Here is an 18,534-nt window from a genome sequence, read left to right as displayed (position 1 = left end):
TGTTTTCTTTGTAGATGTCATATAAATTTAAGGAATATACACATGACCCAGAATAACAATAAGAAACCTAAGTATTTTTAGTGCAGAATTATGGAGTATTACTTATCTGTTACAACAAGAAGCATGATGAATAGCTATTGGAATTATTTAAATCCTCTTCCAAGTTTCACTTTACCTCAGAAATCTCACTGTTCTTATTATTGTTGATTTAGTTCTTAATGGCATGAAAGGGGAAAATTGGCAACCTATAAAGATATATCTTGCAGGGAGTAGTAAAACATTTCAGTACTATTACAGTTTGTACAAAGTAGTGATTAAATGGGAAGCCAATAGAGTTGAATAAGTCTCAGGAACTGAATGAACTAAATACACAGATTATACCAATCCTTAAAAATAATCTGGGCTAAATAATGATAAGGCTAACTCTGATTCTGAGCATTTGAACCTAACGTCGGATTTTGTATGTTGTGTCTATTATTCTACTTGCTACTTTCTTAACTTGCTTGACTAGCGTATATTTTGGACTATTCTCCTTTAATGCTGGTGGCCAGTAACAGTAATTAAAATATGTAGTCTTTCACAGATTGTGCTAATTATTGATGTTCTAGTAGTGGGTTGACTATAACTCCTTAACTAACATGGCCTTTCTGTAAATGTTTTAAAGTATTGGGTGTTTTTTTTGGTTTGTTTGTTTTGTTTTCCAGTATGGGGAGGGTTGGGGTTGCTGGCACAGAACTGAAGTAAGAGTAGGGTAACTGAGAATGTGCATATGCAAGAGGGTAAATTAAGTTGTGTGCTTATTTAATTAAAAGTGTAAGTGGTTTGTTTTTACTGCAAGATAAATGGCATATATTGGATCAATTAGAATGAACCAATTTAATTAACATATATTATAGTTTGATTTTTTAAAATTTGAAATCACGAATGACATTTTAGCAAGAATGAAAGAGATAATTTCTTCTGCAACTGGGCAGTGAATTCAAGCCTTTATTCAGCTTTCAGAAAAGACGATTATGCATCTTTTAAATATGCATATATATTATTAGTTTCAAGTTGCATTTGAAAACTGAGATCTGTTGAAATCATACCACTTCAAATGAATATAAATCAGTAGGGATCATTTTATAAATATTGAGGTTTCCTGTGATTCTTAACAAATTATCCCCTGAAGTAATAAATTTAATATTTATAATGCAGCTCTTTGGAACTGACAAGTCTTTTCCCCTCTCTGGAACTATTTTAGAATAATCTGGATTGGATATCTTTTTTGGCCCATATAAGTATTTGTCTACCTGCATTTCAAGACGATAGAAGCAATGACATTTTAAGAATTAAGAACAGTCTTTAGCCTTTTGTTACTTAAGATATGTGTATCAAACATGATAGCTGACCACATTTCATCATCTGTGATTTATGTGTTGGTAGTTTTGAAATGCCTGGGTTAAGAGAAATTCCGTTCAGTTATCAGAAACTAATAAACATAAGATTTTTTTATATGCAAGAAAAGGCAGAGAGTAAATAATTGCACTGGTGACCAATACTGTAATAATCCTGTTTTACAATATGCACTTGACAGGTTGTAATAGTGCTAATTGAAGAGACTAATTCACACTTGCTTCATTCTATTCAAAGGCAAAATCAGCAGCTTGTTTTGCTTTTGACCAGATGGTCCTCATGAACACCTACTGTGCACTTTAAGTGCTTTACTAGAATTACAAAGGCCGGGGGCTGCGTTCGACTCCAAATGATTTGAGAAGAGAGAGAGAGAGGGGGGAAAAGAACCTCTGTGCTCAATGGATTTGGTGCAAGTAAATTAATTCTAGTGGACCCATTACACACAGCCCCCTTTTCAAAGCTCTGAGCCTCCTCGCTTGCTCTGTAGCAATGAGAAAGAGAAAGGCAGATTACTGCAAACAGAAATAAAAAAAAAAAGGGGGGTATGAAAGGGAGAAAAGAGGCCTTGAAGCCTTTCATATCATTTGAGTTTTTCAAGTGCGTTATTTTTGGGGAGGGTGGATGTATGAAAAGCCAATTGGAGTTTTTTTTGTTTTAAAGTGCGCTATTTAAGCACCATGAATATAGGCGCAAGAGCAACAGTTGACTGAGTTTACTGTGGTGAAGCTTTGTGTCCGAGGATGAATCAAATTCATTATATTCAACTCTTTGTGTTTTAACATGAATGTAGGGTTAGTTTCACAAGACTGTGTCTGTTTAGGATAATTATAATTTAATATTTTCCTTTCATAAAGTTATCACTGTAGATGTCTAAAATTTTAATCAAAGCAGATTTTGTACATTGACTTTGAAGCACCCTGACAGTTTAAAATTCAAAGGAAAGCTTTTTTAGTTTTCAAAAGAAAAGGAAGGCTCATTCTAATGGCATTGAAGCAGAGATTATTATAACTAATTAGAAGTCACACATCTGTTAGCTTTTGGTTTCTGACTTACTTATGTATTTTTTGAGTAAAATATATACTTTAAAAATATATTGCTGTTATTGTGTGAACCTAAAGGGATAAAATGCACTTAAAAGAGAACCATTTATTTGAGCCAACCATTTTTTGCAAATCTCTAGATGGTCCTATAAAAATATGTAATGTAATAAAGTACATTAAGTGTGAATTGCAGTTGTATAATTAATAATCTTACTTTGGAATATGCTTTCAAACAATATTTTCACACAGTTCTGTTGTCATAATTCTGATTATTAACCAAAGTTATGAGATTAAAAAAACCTGTCCAGTTTGTACAAATTTATAGTTATTCCTTATCCTTAAAGCTGTTCATGTATAGTACTGTAATTTGGAATACTAAGACTGTGAAATAATTAGTTCTTATTGTAAACTATGTGGGTTAGGATACAAGGAATCAAATTTAGGAATATACATCACCTGCTTTTTATGTTTTTGTAGTTCTAAATTTAATTCTTGTGATATATTTTAGTGGCATTGTTTACTTTTGTTTGATGGCATATATTACCGCCACCATGTTCATTTTAATTTTAATTATAGCTATTATCAAAGAATACAACAAAATCATACCAATAGTTCATCATGATAATTGTAAATGTTTCATAGTCTTCTTAAAGTTTGTATCGTCTCTTCAAATTAATGTCTAGAATTTATATTTTAAAAGGCATATTGCATCAATAAGCTTTTTATGTCAATAAGTTTTAATTACATTTTTAGAAAATAAAACACAGAAATGCACAAGCAACCCCAAAAATCTTTTTTATTTCTTAAAGACTTCATTTAAGAAGGTAGCATGCCTTTTATATATTTAAAATAAAATTTGATTCATATTAATGTACTCATACTTTGGGAGTGCTCATTGAAATGTAAGTTATAGGGTGAGGAGGGATATAAGGAGAATTCCCAAACCTTCCACCAGCAAAATATACAATGAAATTTGTAAGTAATGAGGCATTAATGAATTGATATCCTTGGGGAGAAAAACATTTCAAGAAAAAATATGAAAGATTAAGAAAAACTCACTGCAAAAAATTTTTTGCAGCAGACCATTTAAAATAAAGGTAAAGGTACTAGATTTCTTTCTTGTAGGTACAATAAAAAGCTATCTTTAAAGGCAGAACCTCAGTTAGCAGAAGTGGATTGATCATGACCATGTAGTCACTTACTTAGATGGGGCTGATTCTTTGGTTTCACAGAGACAGTGCTCCTCATGCATGAAGAAGAGGTTTTTCTTTTTCAGTATTAAAATATTAACTCCTAGATTCCTGAATGCCAGAGACAAGGTTATTTTCCTAGGGTATGTGTTGGGAAAGGCTATAATTTCTTCATAGATGTGGTAAGTACCACATTACTTAAGCTGAGAACTATTTTAATGTTTAACTATCTTCTAGTCCTAAGATAAGAAATAGTAACCAACCTCTTCATTCCTCCCCAACCCTCTGTAAAACAAACACACACACACACACAAGAAATTAAACCAAAGGATGGGTAAGTGAATATAAAGTGCTCATAAATATAAGCTGGACCAAGACTTGGCATATTAAGATAAGGCCTGCATGTAGAAAATTATTTACATGTTTATCTTTATATGCCAAAGGTTATTTGGTTACAACCTCTTCAAATATCTGGTTATGGTAATTTTTCTTTTGTCTAATGTGTCTTGTGTATGACTCAGTGTTATACAGTTAAGGAGTTTTTCTTTTTCAAACATACTTTTTGTGATAAATATTCTTTTAAAAAATCCTGCTGCTCAATATAGGGCTATAGTATAGTACCTTATTACCCTCAATGTACTCCTATTATTATTTTGAAAAACTTTTTTTTTAGAGAAAAAAGATTTTAAAAGCTTGTAGTAAACATTTTATATAAATGACAAAATGTATTCCTTGCTTTGTGGTCATTGCGTGACCAGACAGTAGAGTACTGGATTGTTCTAGGGTTTTACAGCTGCAAGGCAAAAGCATCTGCTCATTGCAAAGCCGGCATTGTTTAATTTTGACACTGACTTTTCCATGAGTCTTGTACCAAGCACTGGATTAGATGCCACTAAGATGAAATTTGTTTTAAGTTGCTCCCAAAGTGCAGCTGTTCCTATATACGGCCCTGTAGCTTAACCAAAACAGACAGACATAGGATCAATCAGAATCTTTGTACAGGGTCACCTCAGTATGCTAGGGGGGCCCAGAGAGAGAATGTTAATGATATTATTTATCATGAATAACTGCAAAATTAGTTTCTGGGCTTATTTAATGTCTATAGTACAGCCCCCCACCTTTTAAAAGCAATAGAACTGTTATTAAATATTTAGCTTTTTAAACTGGATTATCATGGCTAAGTATTAGAGTGTCCCTGTATGCATTAGGCACTATTCTTCCACAATCAATTGCAAGAAAAATTAGTTTATTGGTCACTAAAGTAGTGATTGGCTGAAAATAAGACCTATTCTAAAATTGTTTGCGGAAATCTTGAAAAGTGGACATTTTTATAGAATGATAATTTTTCTTTAATGTTTCAAGTGAATGAAAAATGAAAGAGCACCTCACATCCCAGGTTTCCTGGGATTGTGTGAATTTCTACCCAGCTGGTCCAAATTGATTGATACAGGGCCAAATATTTGTCTGCCTACATTTCAAAGTCTATAATTTGCTAATGAATTGTGGTAATAATCTTTCATCCTACATGAAAGATTTAGCCAAACAATTTGCTAAGTATATATTTTGATCATACAATTTTTGGACTTACACCAAGCTTTACATCTACTTACAGCTAATGCATGGGGGTGGAGGGAGGGCAGTAGGAAAAATAATACTGAACATGGACGCTTGATGGAAAAGAATGAAGGAAGCGTGAGGAAAGAAGGTACTTTGGAAAAGAATAATACTGGGAAAGTCCCATGAGTGACACAGAGAAACCAATTCTGTTTGTACTTAGAGTTCAAAATAGAATTTAAAAAAAATGCCAGTACAGTTTTAGTCCATAGTATCCAGAGATATATGGTATCCATTTAGATGAAGGCTAGGAAGGAATCTTTTTCTGTTTTGGCTACAGCTATTCCACACATTGATTATGATTATAATTTCCTAAAAACTTGATGCTGCAAAGTCAAATACCCACAAAGTTTAAGTAATTGAGGCATAACAATCAAAGGCAAATGTTTGTTGGGGTTGATTAAAAAGAATCTAATGAAGAAATAAATGTGATTTGACTAATTCCAGAAGAAGCTGAGACAGGAACCTAGTAAAGCTTTTGACATGACTGTAGGCACCCAAGAGAACATTTTCTCCCTCCAAAACAAGGAAAGACTGTATAAAGGAAAATTAGGCCTGTTTCTGGGAGGATATGTAGCATTAAGTTACCTTTGCTTGGGAAAGTGTAAACCTTATTTTTTATGTATTTTGGGAGAGGAGCATAAGATATACTCCAGAGGAAATCCAGGATTACACTATGGAATGAGAGAGCTAGGCAATGTTCAAAATAAGATTCTATCTTACACATGTAATACCTCTTCCATTGTTAGAAATCAAGGTGCCATGATTTCCTATTTGACTTATATAATTTGAATTGTTTTCAAGTTGTCCATGTGGAGAATCTTAAATAATATTGATAGAATTTCCCTTGCCTAGCCATTTAATACCAAGTAGTTAAAAAAAAAAAAAAAAAAAAAGGCCAAGCACGGTGACTCACGCCTGTAATCCCAGTACTTTGGGAGGACGAGGCGAATGGATCACCTGAGGTCAGGAGTTCAAGACCAGCCTGGCCAACATGGCAAAACCCTGTCTCTACTAAAAGTACAAAAATTAGCCAGGTGTGGTCGTGGGTTCCTGTAATCCCAGCTACTCAGGAGGCTGAGACAGGAGAATCACTTGAACCCAGGAGGCGGAGGTTGCAAGTGAGCCGAGATCGCGCCACTGCACTCCAGCCTGGGTGACAAGAGCGAGACTCTGTCTCAGGGAAAACAAAATCAAAAACAAAAAACTTTGTCTTATAGAGAGAAATCATATATATTATAAAAGAGATGGGCCCTCCATTTTATAGATTTTAAAGATAAGCAACTCTAGAATTTTTATATACCTGTGGGACCTCTTAAATGTATAGTTAAATGACACATTTCCAGAGGATTAATTTGTATTCATTTATATAATTCCCCTTTTGTTCTCTGCTGGAAATAAGCCTCCTTTAGATGTTAATACAGTGGATGTCTATCCAAGGTGGCACCACTGGATGATTTTTTTTTTTTAGTGCAATGGTGCAATCTCTGCTCGCTGCAACCTCCACCTCCCAGGTTCAAGCGATTCTCCTGCCTCAGCCTCCTGAGTAGCTGGGGTTGCAGGTGCATGCAACCATGCCTGGCTAATTTTTGTATTTTTGGTAGAGATGGGGTTTCACCATGTTGGGCAGGTTGGTCTCGAACTCCTGACCTCTGGTGATCCACCTGCCTCAACCTCCCAAAGTGCTGGGATTACAGACTTGAGCCACCGTGCCCAACCAACAATCTTTAAAGTATTTAGGAAAGTTAAGAATCTATGTGTAACTAGAGCTTTATTCAGATGAATAGAAAATTTTGTTTTACACATTGACTTTCTTAGCCTCTTTCCTTCTATTTTGCTGACAGTTAGAATCTATCAATTTAATACATGCCATAATTTTTTTTTTGAGACAGTCTCGCTCTGTCGCCAAAGGTGGAGTCCAGTGGCACTGTGTCGGCTCCCTGCAACCTCCACCTGTTGGGTTCAAGCAGTTCTCCACCTCAGCCTCCCGAGTAGCTGGGACTACAGGTGCCCACCACTACGCCTGGCCAATTTTTTTTTTTTTTTTTTTTTGTATTTTTTAGTAGAGATGGGGTTTCACCATGTTGGCCAGGCTAGTCTCGAACTCCTGACCTCAGGTGATCCGCCCACCTCGGCCTCCCAAAGTGCTGAGATTGCAGGCGTGAGCCACCAAGCCTGGCCTACATGCCATAACTTTTTGTAGGTATATTGTTATCACGTTATGGTAGTTACCATAGCAAATACTTAATAAAGTTTTGGTTTGGAGACCTTTGTGGGTTTTTTTTTTTTTCCTGGCTATAGTGTTATAGAAGAGATCCATAATCATTACTATGAAGGAAAACTTATAAAGAAAATCACATTTAAATAAAATTAATTATAAGTGAGATAATTAGTAAGATTCCTGATTTTTTTAATGAAAACTCAATTTCAAGAGCAAATATTAGAGTTACAGGTTATGTAGCTGAAATTCAAAATATGCTATTAGCATTTGTTTCTAGTCCTTTTGGTGTTCTGTTATCAAAGGCACATTATATTTACATGCCTGCCTGCCTTTGCCTAATGAAAATGTGAAATAATTCCTCCTAAGAGGTATGTTTATAATGTCCTATAATTATCATCATAAGAAAAGCATATCATTTAAATATCAGTTCATTGCTGTTGAATCGGGAGATGTTTCCCTTATTCCTCATATCCTAAACAAGGAAATCTTAATAAGGTATTTTTAAAGGCTGCTGTTTTTTTGCTGGTCAGTTTTTTTTATATATATGTCATGTATATGTCATATATATGTCATACATGTCATGTATATGTCATATATATGTCATATATGTCATGTATATATATAATGACACATATACATATAGATCACTTTGCTTGAAATTTGAAATATCAGAAATATAGTAAATATCTTAAGAGTCTTGATTTCTGTTGATAATTCTTATTTCAAATATTGACTCTAAAATTTGGTCATTATGTGGGAATTTAGAAATCTCGTGTGCTTCAATTGAACCATTTATGTGGGTGTGTGAGAGAGAGGGGTGTGTGCTAGTCTGTAGGCAGTGACTGTATAAGTAAATGTGTAAATATGTTGCTGTGAAATGTAAGTAATCTTTTAATCCTTAAGGTATTACTTAAAGGGCTCAGGGTTGAAATAGCGTTTTCTGTTGCCGTGGTGTTTGAATTTCTATAAATCAATTTTTTTAATGAATAATAAGAAATTTTATTTTTTATCTTAAAGTAGACTTTTACCTTATATGCATATGCTACAATAAGATTGTAAAAGTAAATTATATATACATAACAAGGCTTTCTAATACATAAGATTTTATAATATTGAGAGATAATAAATGTAAATGGTACTAATTTGATGTCATTAGCTTTACTTGTGTTAAGTGAATTAAAATTCCATATGAGTATTAAGACTGTGGAACCAGCATAAGGACAGACAGATAGATCAGTGCACTAGAATTGAGAACCTAGAAAGAAACCCTTACATTTATGGTCAATTAATTTTCAGCAAGATTACCAAGAAAATTCAACATATGGTGCTGGGACAACTAGATATCTACATGCACAAGAATGAAACTGGACTGTTCCCTCACACCAGACAGAAAGAAAAATTAACTTAAATCACAGATCCAAATCTAAGACTTAAAACTATAAACCTCATAGAAGAAAACAGGAAAAATTTTTCGTGGTTTTTGGGTTAGGTAATGGTTTCTCAGTTAGGACACTAAAACTACAAACAAGGAAAAATAGGTTATTTGAACTTCATCAAAATTAAAAACTTTAGTGCCTCAGAGGGCATCATCAGTAAAATGACATGACAATTTAAAGAATGGAAGAAAATATTTCCAAATTGTATATTGATAAGAGACTTGTATCTAGGATATATGAAGAACTCTTACAACTCAATAATAAAAAGACAAATAATCTAATTGAAAATTGGCAAAGATCTGAATAGACATTTCTCAGGAGAAGATATGCAAACAGCCAATAAGCAAATGAAAAGTTGCCCAACATCTTTAGTCATTAGGGAAATGCAAATAAAAAATCCAAAGAAATTGAAATCAGTGTGTTAAAGAGATACCTGCATTCCAGTATTCATTGAAGCATTGTTCACAATAAGCAAGATATGGAAGCAATGTAAGTGTTCATCAGTGAATACATGGATAGAGATCATGTGGTATATATGAATATATACAACAGAATACTATTCAGCCTTTAAAAAGAAGAAACTTCTGTCATTTGGAACAACATGGGAAGACCTGGAGGACAGCATGCTAAGTGAATAAACATGTTCTCACTTATATATGGATTCTAGAAAAGTCAAACTCATAGAAGTAGAGAGGAGAACAGTGATTACCAGAGGCTGGTGGTGGGGTGTGGACGGGTAGGAATGAGGAAAGCGGAGATGTTGGTCAAAGGATACAGTTTCAGTTTGACAGGAGGAATAAATTTTAATGGTCTTTCGTACAGCAGGGTGACTATATTTAGTAATGTGTTATATATTTCAAAATTGCTAAAAGATTAGAATTTAAATGTTCCCACCACACACACACACACACACACACACACACACACACACACACACACACACACAGTAAATACTTCAAGTGCTGGATATGTGGGGGTTGTTGTTGTTTTCTTACCCAGTCTGCAGTGCAGTGGCACAATCAAGGCTCACTGCATGCTCGAACTCCCGGGTTCCATTGATCCTCCCATCTCAGCCACCTGAGTAGATGGGACTACAGGTACGTGCCACAATGCCCAGCTAATTTTTGTATTTTTTGTAGAGATGAGGTTTCACCATGTTGCCCAGGCTGGTCTGATACACCTGGGCTCAAGTGATCTGCCCGCCTGGGCCTCCCAAAGGATTACAGGTGTCAGCCACCACACCTGGCCTGCTGGATATGTTAATTAGCTTAATTTAATCATTTCATAGTGTATACATATATCAAAACATCACTTTGTACCCCATAAATATACACAATTATTATTTGTCAATTAAAACAAAGAAAAATGGCCAGGCACGATGGCTCACGCCTATAGTCCCAGGAATCCCCACCTCTACTAAAAATACAAAATTAGCCGGGCGTGGTGGTGCATGCCTATAATGCCAGCTACTTGGGAGGCTGAGGCAGGAGAATTGCTTGAACCCGGGAGGTGGAGGTTGCGTAAGCCGAGATCGCGCCATTGCACTCCAGCCTGGGCAACAAGAGAGAAACTCTGTCTCAAAAAAAGAAAAAAGCAAAATGAACTACCCCTTCACACCACTAGGATGGCTAGAATTTTAAAAGGTAGGCTGTATGCAGTGGTTCATGCCGGTAATCCCAGTACTTTGGGAGGCCAAGGCCAGCGGATTACTTGAGGTCAGGAGTTTGAGACCAGCCTGGGCAACATGGTGAAACCCATCTCTACTAATAACACAAAAGTGAAGTGGACATTGTGGTGCATGCCTGCAGTCTCAGCTACTGGGGAGGCTGAGGCATGAGAATCACTTGAACCCGGGAGATGGAGGCTGCAGTGAGCTGAGATCGTGCCACTGCACTCCAGCCTGGGCAACAGAGTGAAACTGTCTGGAAAAAAAAAAAGGTGACAGTGACAAGTGTTGTATTGGCAAAGATGTTGAGAAATGAGAACTATTACGCATTGCTGGTGGAATTATGACATAATGTAGTAGCTGTGGAAAAAGTTTGATAGTTCCTCAACATGTTAAACATGGTTACCATCTATCTGACCCAGCAATTCTACTCCTAGATATGTAACAAGAGAATTGAAAACATGCATCCACACAAAAATGTGTATGTGAATGTTTATAGGAGATGGTTCATAATAGCCAAAATGTGGAAGTCCACTAATGAATGAATGGATAAACAAAATGTGGTATATCCATACAATGGAATATTTTCAGTCATAAAAAAATGGAATGAAATACAGATACATATGACAATGTTAATGAACCTTAAAAACATGCTAAATGAAAGAAACTAAACACAAAAAGCCACATATTATATAATTACGTTTATATCAAATGCCGAGAGTAGGCAAGTCTCTGGGGCATCTGGCTGGAGGGAAGGGAAAATAGTTAATGGTTGCTATTGGGTTTGAATTTTTGTTGTTTTTGTTTTTACATTTCATTAATAATCACAAGTTATGTAGCACAATGCATTTTAAATATTAAACTTCTTCAAATAATTATTTTCTTTGTATGCAACAGTTTTTTTTGTTTGTTTGTTTGTTTTTGAGACAGTCTTGCTCTGTCACCCAGGCTGGAGTGCAGTGGCACGATCTCAGCTCACTGCAACCTCCGCCTCCCAGGTTCAAGCGATTCTCCTACCTCAGCCTCCCGAATAGCTGGGATTACAGACGTGTGCCACCACACCCAGCTAATTGTTTTATTTTTAGTAGAGAGGGTTTCACCATGTTGGCCAGGCTGGTCTTGAACTCCTGATCTTGTGATTGCCCACCTTGGCCTCCCAAAGTACTGGAATTACAGGTGTGAGCCACCATGCCTGGCCAGTATGCAACAATTTTATATAAGAAATATAATGTAATTTGCCGGGTGCGGTGGCTCACGCCTGTAATCCCAGCACTTTGGGAGGCTGAGGTGGGTGGATCACCTGAGGTCAGGAGTTCGAGACCTGCCTGGCTAACGCTGAAACCCAGTTTCTACTTAAAATTAGCCGGGCATGGTGACATGTGCCTGTAATCCCAGCTACTTGGGAGGCTGAGGCAGGAGAATTGCTTGAACCCGGGAGGCGGAGGTTGCAGTGAGCCAAGATCGCACCACTGCACTCCAGCCTGGGTGACAGAGCAAGACTCCATCTCAAAAAAAAAAAAAAAAAAAAGAAATATAATGTAATTTAAACACAGCACAATGATCTTCCTATGTATACTGTAGAGTGTTTAATAAACATGGAGAGTCTGTTTAAATCTTAATGTTTAATGGGTACAAATTTGTTTTTGTTGTATTACCTCTCCCTACATAGGCTAATTTTCAGAATTCTAAAATAAAGTAACAGAAAATAGAATGGCATGTTTTTAAGGTTCATCTGTGTTGCCACATGTAATCCGTATTTTATTCATTAAGACTGAATGATATTCCATTGTGTGGGCATACCACATTTTTGTTCATTCATTAATGGATACTTGGGTTACTTCCACCTTTTGGCTGTTATGAATAATGCTACTGTGAACATTCATGTACATGTTTTTGTTTGGACATATGTTTTGTTTTGTTTTGTTTTTTGTTTTTTTTCAGACGGAGTCTCGCTCTGTCGCCCAGGCTGGAGTGCAGTGGCGCAATCTCGGCTCACTGCAACCTCTGCCTCCCGGGTCCACGGCATTCTCTTGCTTCAGCCTCCTGAGCAGTCCGGACCGCAGGTGCCTGCCACCATGCCTGGCCAATTTTTTCTATGTTTAGTAGAGACGGGGTTTCACTGTGTTAGCGAGGATGGTCTGTATCTCCTGACCTCGTGATCCACCCGCCTCGGCCTCTGAAAGTGCTGGGATTACAGGCGTGAGCCACTGCGCCTGGCCTGGACATATGTTTTCAGTTCTCTTGTTATATATCTAGGAGTAGAATTGCTATGTCAGATGGTTACTTTATCATATATATGATTTTTTCTGTGTTTTTTCTAATTGTAAAATATACATAACAAAATTTAGCATTTTAACCATTTTTACGTGTATAGTTCAGTTACATCAAGTAACATTCACATTCTCTTGCAACCATCACTTTAACCCATTTTCAAAACCTTTTTTGTCTTTACAAACTAAAACTCTGTACCCATTAAACAGTAACTCCTTATTCCCCTTTGCCTCTAGCTCCTAGCCAACCATGACTCTACTTTCTGTCAAATTCTTAATGTAACCACCCTAGTTACTTCATAAAGTGGAATCATACAGTATGTGGCCTTTTGTATTTGGCTTATTTCACTCAGCTTACTGTTTTCAAGGTTCATTCATGTTGTAGCACATGATAGAATTTTATTTTATTTTATTTTTTATTTTTATTTTATTTTATTTTGAGATAGAGTTTCGCTCTTGTTGCCCAGGCTGTAGTGCAATGGCGCGATCTCGGCTCACCGCAACCTCCGCCTCCCGGGTTCAAGTGATTCTCCTGCCTCAGCCTCCCGAGTAACTGGGATTACAGGCATGCGCCACAACGCCCGGCTAATTTTGTATTTTTAGTAGAGACAGGGTTTCTCCATGTTGGTCAGGTTGGTCTCGAACTTCCGCCCTCAGGTGATCCACCCACCTTGGCCTCCCAAAGTGCTATGATTACAGGCGTGAGCCACCGCGCCTGGCCGGAATTTTATTATTTTTTTAAGGCTGAGTAATATTCCATTGTATGTAAGTACCACATTTTGTTTATCCATTCACACACTGATAGACCATTGGGTTGTTTCCACCTTTTGAGTATTGTGAATAATGCTGCTATAAACATGGGTGTACAAATACATCTTTGAGGTCCTGCTTTCATTTCTATTACGTATACACCCAAGAAATGGGATTGCTGAATCATATGGTAATTCTGTGTTTAAGTTTTTGAGGAACAGGTTTCCACAGTGAATATACCATTTTACATTTCCTCCAGCAATGCAGAACAGTTTCCATTTCTCCATGTACTAACCAATACTTGTTATTTTCTGTTTTGTTTTATTTTATTTTATTTTTATTTTTATTTATTTATTTATTTTTTTTGAGATAGAGTCTCGCTCTGTTGCCCAGCCTGGAGTGCAGTGGGTGCGATCTCGGCTCCCTGCAAGCTCCACCTCCCGGGTTCACGCTGTTCTTCTGCCTCAGCCTCCCGAGTAGCTGGGATTACAGGTGCCTGCCACCACGCCCAGCTAATTTTTTGTATTTTTAGTAGAGACAGGGTTTCACTGTGTTAGCCAAGATGGTCTCGAACTCCTGACCTTGTGATCCGCCCGCCTTGGCCTCACAAAGTGCTGGGATTACAGGCGTGAGCCACCGCGTGTTTCATTTTTTAGAATAGCCATTCTAATGGAGGTAAAGTGGTATCTGATCGTGGTTCTGGCTTGCATTTTTGTAATGGCTAGTGATTTTGAGCATCATTTCCTTTTTTTTTTTTCTTTGAAATGGAGTCTTGCTCTGTCGCCCAGGCTGGAGTGCGATCTTGGCTCACTGCAACCTCTGCCTCCCAGGTTCAAGCAGTTCTCCCGCCTCAGCCTCCCAAGTAGCTGGGATTACAGGCACGCGCCCCATGCCTGGCTAATTTTTGTATTTTTAGTAGAGACGGGGTTTCACCTTGTTGGCCAGGCTGGTCTCGAACTCCTGACATCAGGTGATCTACCTGCCTCAGTCTCCCAAAGTGCTGGAATTACAGGCATGAGCCATCGCACCCGGCCAGTTTTGAGCATCATTTCATGTGTTTATTGACCATTTATAGAACTTCTTTGGAGGAATGTCTATGCAAATCCTTTGCCCATTTTTCAGGTTGGGTTTTTTTTTTTTTTTTTTGATTGATAAAACGTTCTGGAATTGGTTAAGGTGGTTGTATGACTTTGTGAATATATTGAAAACCACTGAGTTGTACATTGAAATATAAAAAGGAAACTAAATATGAAATGGAGAACTGAGAGCTTAAAAGACAGCTACACATACAAAATAAAAAATTATTCCGAAAAGGAAAACTAGAGAATCGGGAATTATGCCACTTGGGTAAAATATAAAAATGCCAAGTTTCAGGTCGGGCACCATGGCTTATTCCTATAATCCCAGCACTTTGGAAGGCTCAGGTGGACGGATGGCCTGAGGTCAGGAGTTCGAGTCCAGCCTGGGCAACATGGCAAAACCCTGTCTCTGCTAAAAATGCAAAAATTAGCTGGGCGTGGTGGCATGCGCCTGTAATCCTGGCTACTCAGGAAGCTGAGGCATGAGAATCGCTTGAACCCGGGAGGCAGAGGTTGCAGTGAGCCAAGATCGCGCCACTGCACTCCAGCGTGGGCGACAGAATGTGGTGCTGTGTAAAAAAAACCCCAAAAAAGAAAAACAAGTTTCAATATACCAATGTTTTCCAAGAGTTTAAAGAACTCTTTTTGTCATATTGCCTAGGTGTTTTTCCTCTCTATTGAAGTTAAACCAAGAAAAAATAGACTTTGTAATGTTGGATACAGTTTTCTTGAGTTTGATATTAAGCACTGGATAGTTTTATGGAACCATAGTTTATACGTGTTCCTCCGCTCTCCCCCGCTCCCCTCCCCTCCCTCCCCTCCTCTCCCTTTCCCTCCTCTCCCCTTCCCTCCTCTTCCCTCCCCTCCCCTCCTCTTCTTTGAGATAGAGTTTCGCTCTTGTTGCCCAGCCTGGAGCGCAATGGTGCAATCTCAGCTCACGGCAACTTCCACCTCCCAGGTTCAAGTGATTCTCCTGCCCCAGCCTCCTGAGTAGCTGGGATTACAGGCATTCGCCACCACACCCAGCTAATTTTGTATTTTTAGTAGGGACGGGGTTTCTCCATGTTGGTCAGGCTGGTCTCGATCTCCTGGCCTCAGGTGATCTGCCTGCCTTGGCCTCCCAAAGTGCTGGGATTACAGGTATGAGCCACCGGGCCCAGCTTCTGTTACATTTTTTAAAGGGGACATATTTCTACTCTGTTTCTGACTATTAGATGGCAGTTATGTTGAACTACTAGAATAACATTTCAAGTGGGTTGATAGCAATTTTTCTAGGTTATAATATAGACAGTGGTACTATTATTGGGTACCGTTTACATTATCATACAGGGTTTCTGTGACTAACCTTGCATAGTGCTTCCATCAGTATTTTTTCTGTTACTATAATGTAGTGAAAGTGTATTTGAGCAGGGGATGAATACTTTAGGGAATAAAGATATTAATTAGCCTGTTAGGAAAGCATATTCTCAATGGGGAAATTATCATGTATCATTTATATTTCTAGTTGAGATCCATTAGAAAGGAGAATGGTTTTTACTTCATAGTAATTTGAGTGTATTTCTGGGGAAAATCTGCTAGTCAGTGATATTCTAGTTACTGACCTTGAAAATTCATGCCAACTTCATTGAGGGGAAAGAGGAGGAAGCTTCATATTGAGTTAATGTTTTATACTTTTCAACTCATTTCTCCAACCTTAGTTCATTTGATTCTTAAAGCATCTACTAGTGTCAGTAGCTGTACACTTGTACACATAAAGCTGAACAAGATGAAAATGGCATCTCCTGGCTGTGCAACACAATGGTCCTGCTGAGGATGTGAATATAGGACTTGATAGTCAACTATTCTTGCTATATAAACAGAGATACTGATGCAGAAGATAAGTAAGTAGTATTTAAGAGTTCACAGTAAGGTCATTGCTTTTCCCCATTTTATGATTTGTAGTGCTTTCTCTGATTCCATTTCCTAAATCTTTCATCCATTAACTATACTATACTATATACTATAGCAGTAGTTTACCTCACCCTCCTTCTATCTCGCTACACGGACTCTTTATCAGTAAAGTTAGCATAACAGTAGGATCACTTCCCTGACACATGTTGTTTGTGAGAATGAAAGTGAGACAATGTAGGTGAATACAACTTTATTAACTCTAGAATACTTTTTATAGAAGTTATTTGTCTTTCCATGTACCTCAGATTTTACCAACTGATATTTACTTACCTGCCTCTGAACACATAAATTTTTTAAAAGGATGTGATTTCTTGCTCATGTAGTTCCCTCAGCTCTTCTCCCTCAGCCTTACCCCTTCTCCTCATGCCATTCAAAGATCCGTATGTGTTTCAAGAAGACTACACTCAGCTGACACATCCTTCAGGAAACCTTCTATAATTCTGTGTCGTATATGAAGATAACCTCTCCTTATCTCCTGAGTTAGCCTTGAAATACCACACAGTGATATTGTGCCTCATACAACATTCATTTGTATAATTGGTTTAGGCCATCTTATAGCCTATATACTCTTCGAGGAGGGGTACTATATCTTACTGATGTTTATATTCTCTATACAGAATTTTTTAAGAAGAGTCAAAGAACAAATAGTATTTGTTGAAATTAATTCAATTTCATTAAACCAATCTATATCACGTTCTATCTATATTGTAGCAGTTATTGGTGTTAACTTGCAAACATTCCATTGAAGTTATTAGTTGAATGCTCGAGCTTAGTGCAAAAAAGCTGATTATTAAATATTCAGGAATTTTGTGAATCTGACAAAGTGTTGGTACCTTGAAATTGGCTTCAGTGGGATCGTTTATCTCATGGAGATTGGCAAACTCTTAAAAACACTGCTTTTTGTTTTGGGAGAGCCATTTACCGGTATATCATTGGTTGTATGTCTGTAACCCCCACTAGAGTATGAGCTTCTTCAAGTTCATCTCTGCCTGAATGCCTCGACTGTGATAGGAACATTCTTTGCTGAATTAATGAATAAATAAGTGATTGAGTATATCAGCTGCTTTATTCCTCTACTGCCTGACCCCTGCTGGCAGAGACCGAATTTCAGAATCTAGTGAATTTTTTGAGACTGAGTTTTAAAATGGTCCATTGTCATAGACTGTAGTTTCTTTCTGCTTCAGAGTTTGAACCAAAAAAAAAAAAAAAAAAAAAGTCTGTTGGAAATCAAGGCTATTAAACACACATGTTTCAATAGCACAGTAAGGATGGCATTTCTGTCTATTATCACCTTGTTAAGCTACTCCTGCTATGACTTTGCTACTACTAAGTTTTTGGCATCTATTGCTTAACTAACTCACCTTTCAATTTCCAAGTTGGAAACCAATAGTGTGAACCATCTCAAATTAGCTGAAAGATTTCCTTTCACATTATAAGAGGTAACTAACTGATTAATTTTTCCTAGTCATAGATGCTATAATACCAACAAATAAAAAATGTAATGTCTTGAGGCCTTAAAATATTACTTTTTTTTTTTTTTTTGATGGAGTGTTGCCCTTGTCGCCCAGGCTGAAGTGCAATGGCGCGATCTTGGCTCACCACAACCTCCGCCTCCTAGGTTCAAGCTATTTTCCTGCCTCAGCCTCCCGAGTAGCTGGAATTACAGGCACGTGCCACCACACCCGGCTAATTTTGTATTTTTAGTAGAGACGGGGTTTCTCCGTGTTGGTCAGGCTGGTCTCGAACTCCCTACCTCAGGTGATCCGCCTGCCTTGGCCTCCCAAAGCTCTGGGATTATGGGTATGAGCCACTGCACCCGGCCAAAAACATTTAAAAAATTACTATATTAAAACAACTTGTATTTTCTATTAAGGTTCCTATCAGTTTTATCAAAAGTAACATTTATATAAAATTGAAATTGGG

General features: G+C 37.4%; 1 protein-coding gene across 5 annotated transcripts in view, besides 3 other annotated features; it reads left to right on the top strand.

Annotated features, from left to right (window-relative positions):
* The window catches only part of FAF1 (Fas associated factor 1), a 523,240-nt gene that overhangs the window by 258,184 nt on the left and 246,522 nt on the right, over window positions 1-18,534 (top strand). The window lies entirely within an intron of this gene.
* Window positions 970-2,561: an enhancer, noted in NCBI's record as "VISTA enhancer hs200". NCBI's record gives its function as "enhancer in: forebrain[10/11] | limb[4/11]" and the evidence as "EXISTENCE:transgenic organism evidence [ECO:0001131][PMID:17130149]".
* Window positions 1,174-1,838: an enhancer, noted in NCBI's record as "OCT4-NANOG hESC enhancer chr1:51165918-51166582 (GRCh37/hg19 assembly coordinates)". NCBI's record gives its function as "activates a minimal SCP1, AML or CMV promoter by ChIP-STARR-seq in naive and primed H9 embryonic stem cells {active_cell/tissue: H9 hESC(naive and primed)}" and the evidence as "EXISTENCE:reporter gene assay evidence [ECO:0000049][PMID:30033119]".
* Window positions 1,839-2,504: an enhancer, noted in NCBI's record as "OCT4-NANOG hESC enhancer chr1:51165252-51165917 (GRCh37/hg19 assembly coordinates)". NCBI's record gives its function as "activates a minimal SCP1, AML or CMV promoter by ChIP-STARR-seq in naive and primed H9 embryonic stem cells {active_cell/tissue: H9 hESC(naive and primed)}" and the evidence as "EXISTENCE:reporter gene assay evidence [ECO:0000049][PMID:30033119]".

The sequence above is a fragment of the Homo sapiens genome, chromosome 1 (genome assembly GCF_000001405.40).
Source record: "Homo sapiens chromosome 1, GRCh38.p14 Primary Assembly".
NCBI classification, from domain to species: Eukaryota; Metazoa; Chordata; class Mammalia; order Primates; family Hominidae; genus Homo; species Homo sapiens.
The sequence above is the reverse complement of the archived record's forward strand: the minus strand, read 5'-3'. Positions and strand labels throughout refer to the sequence as shown.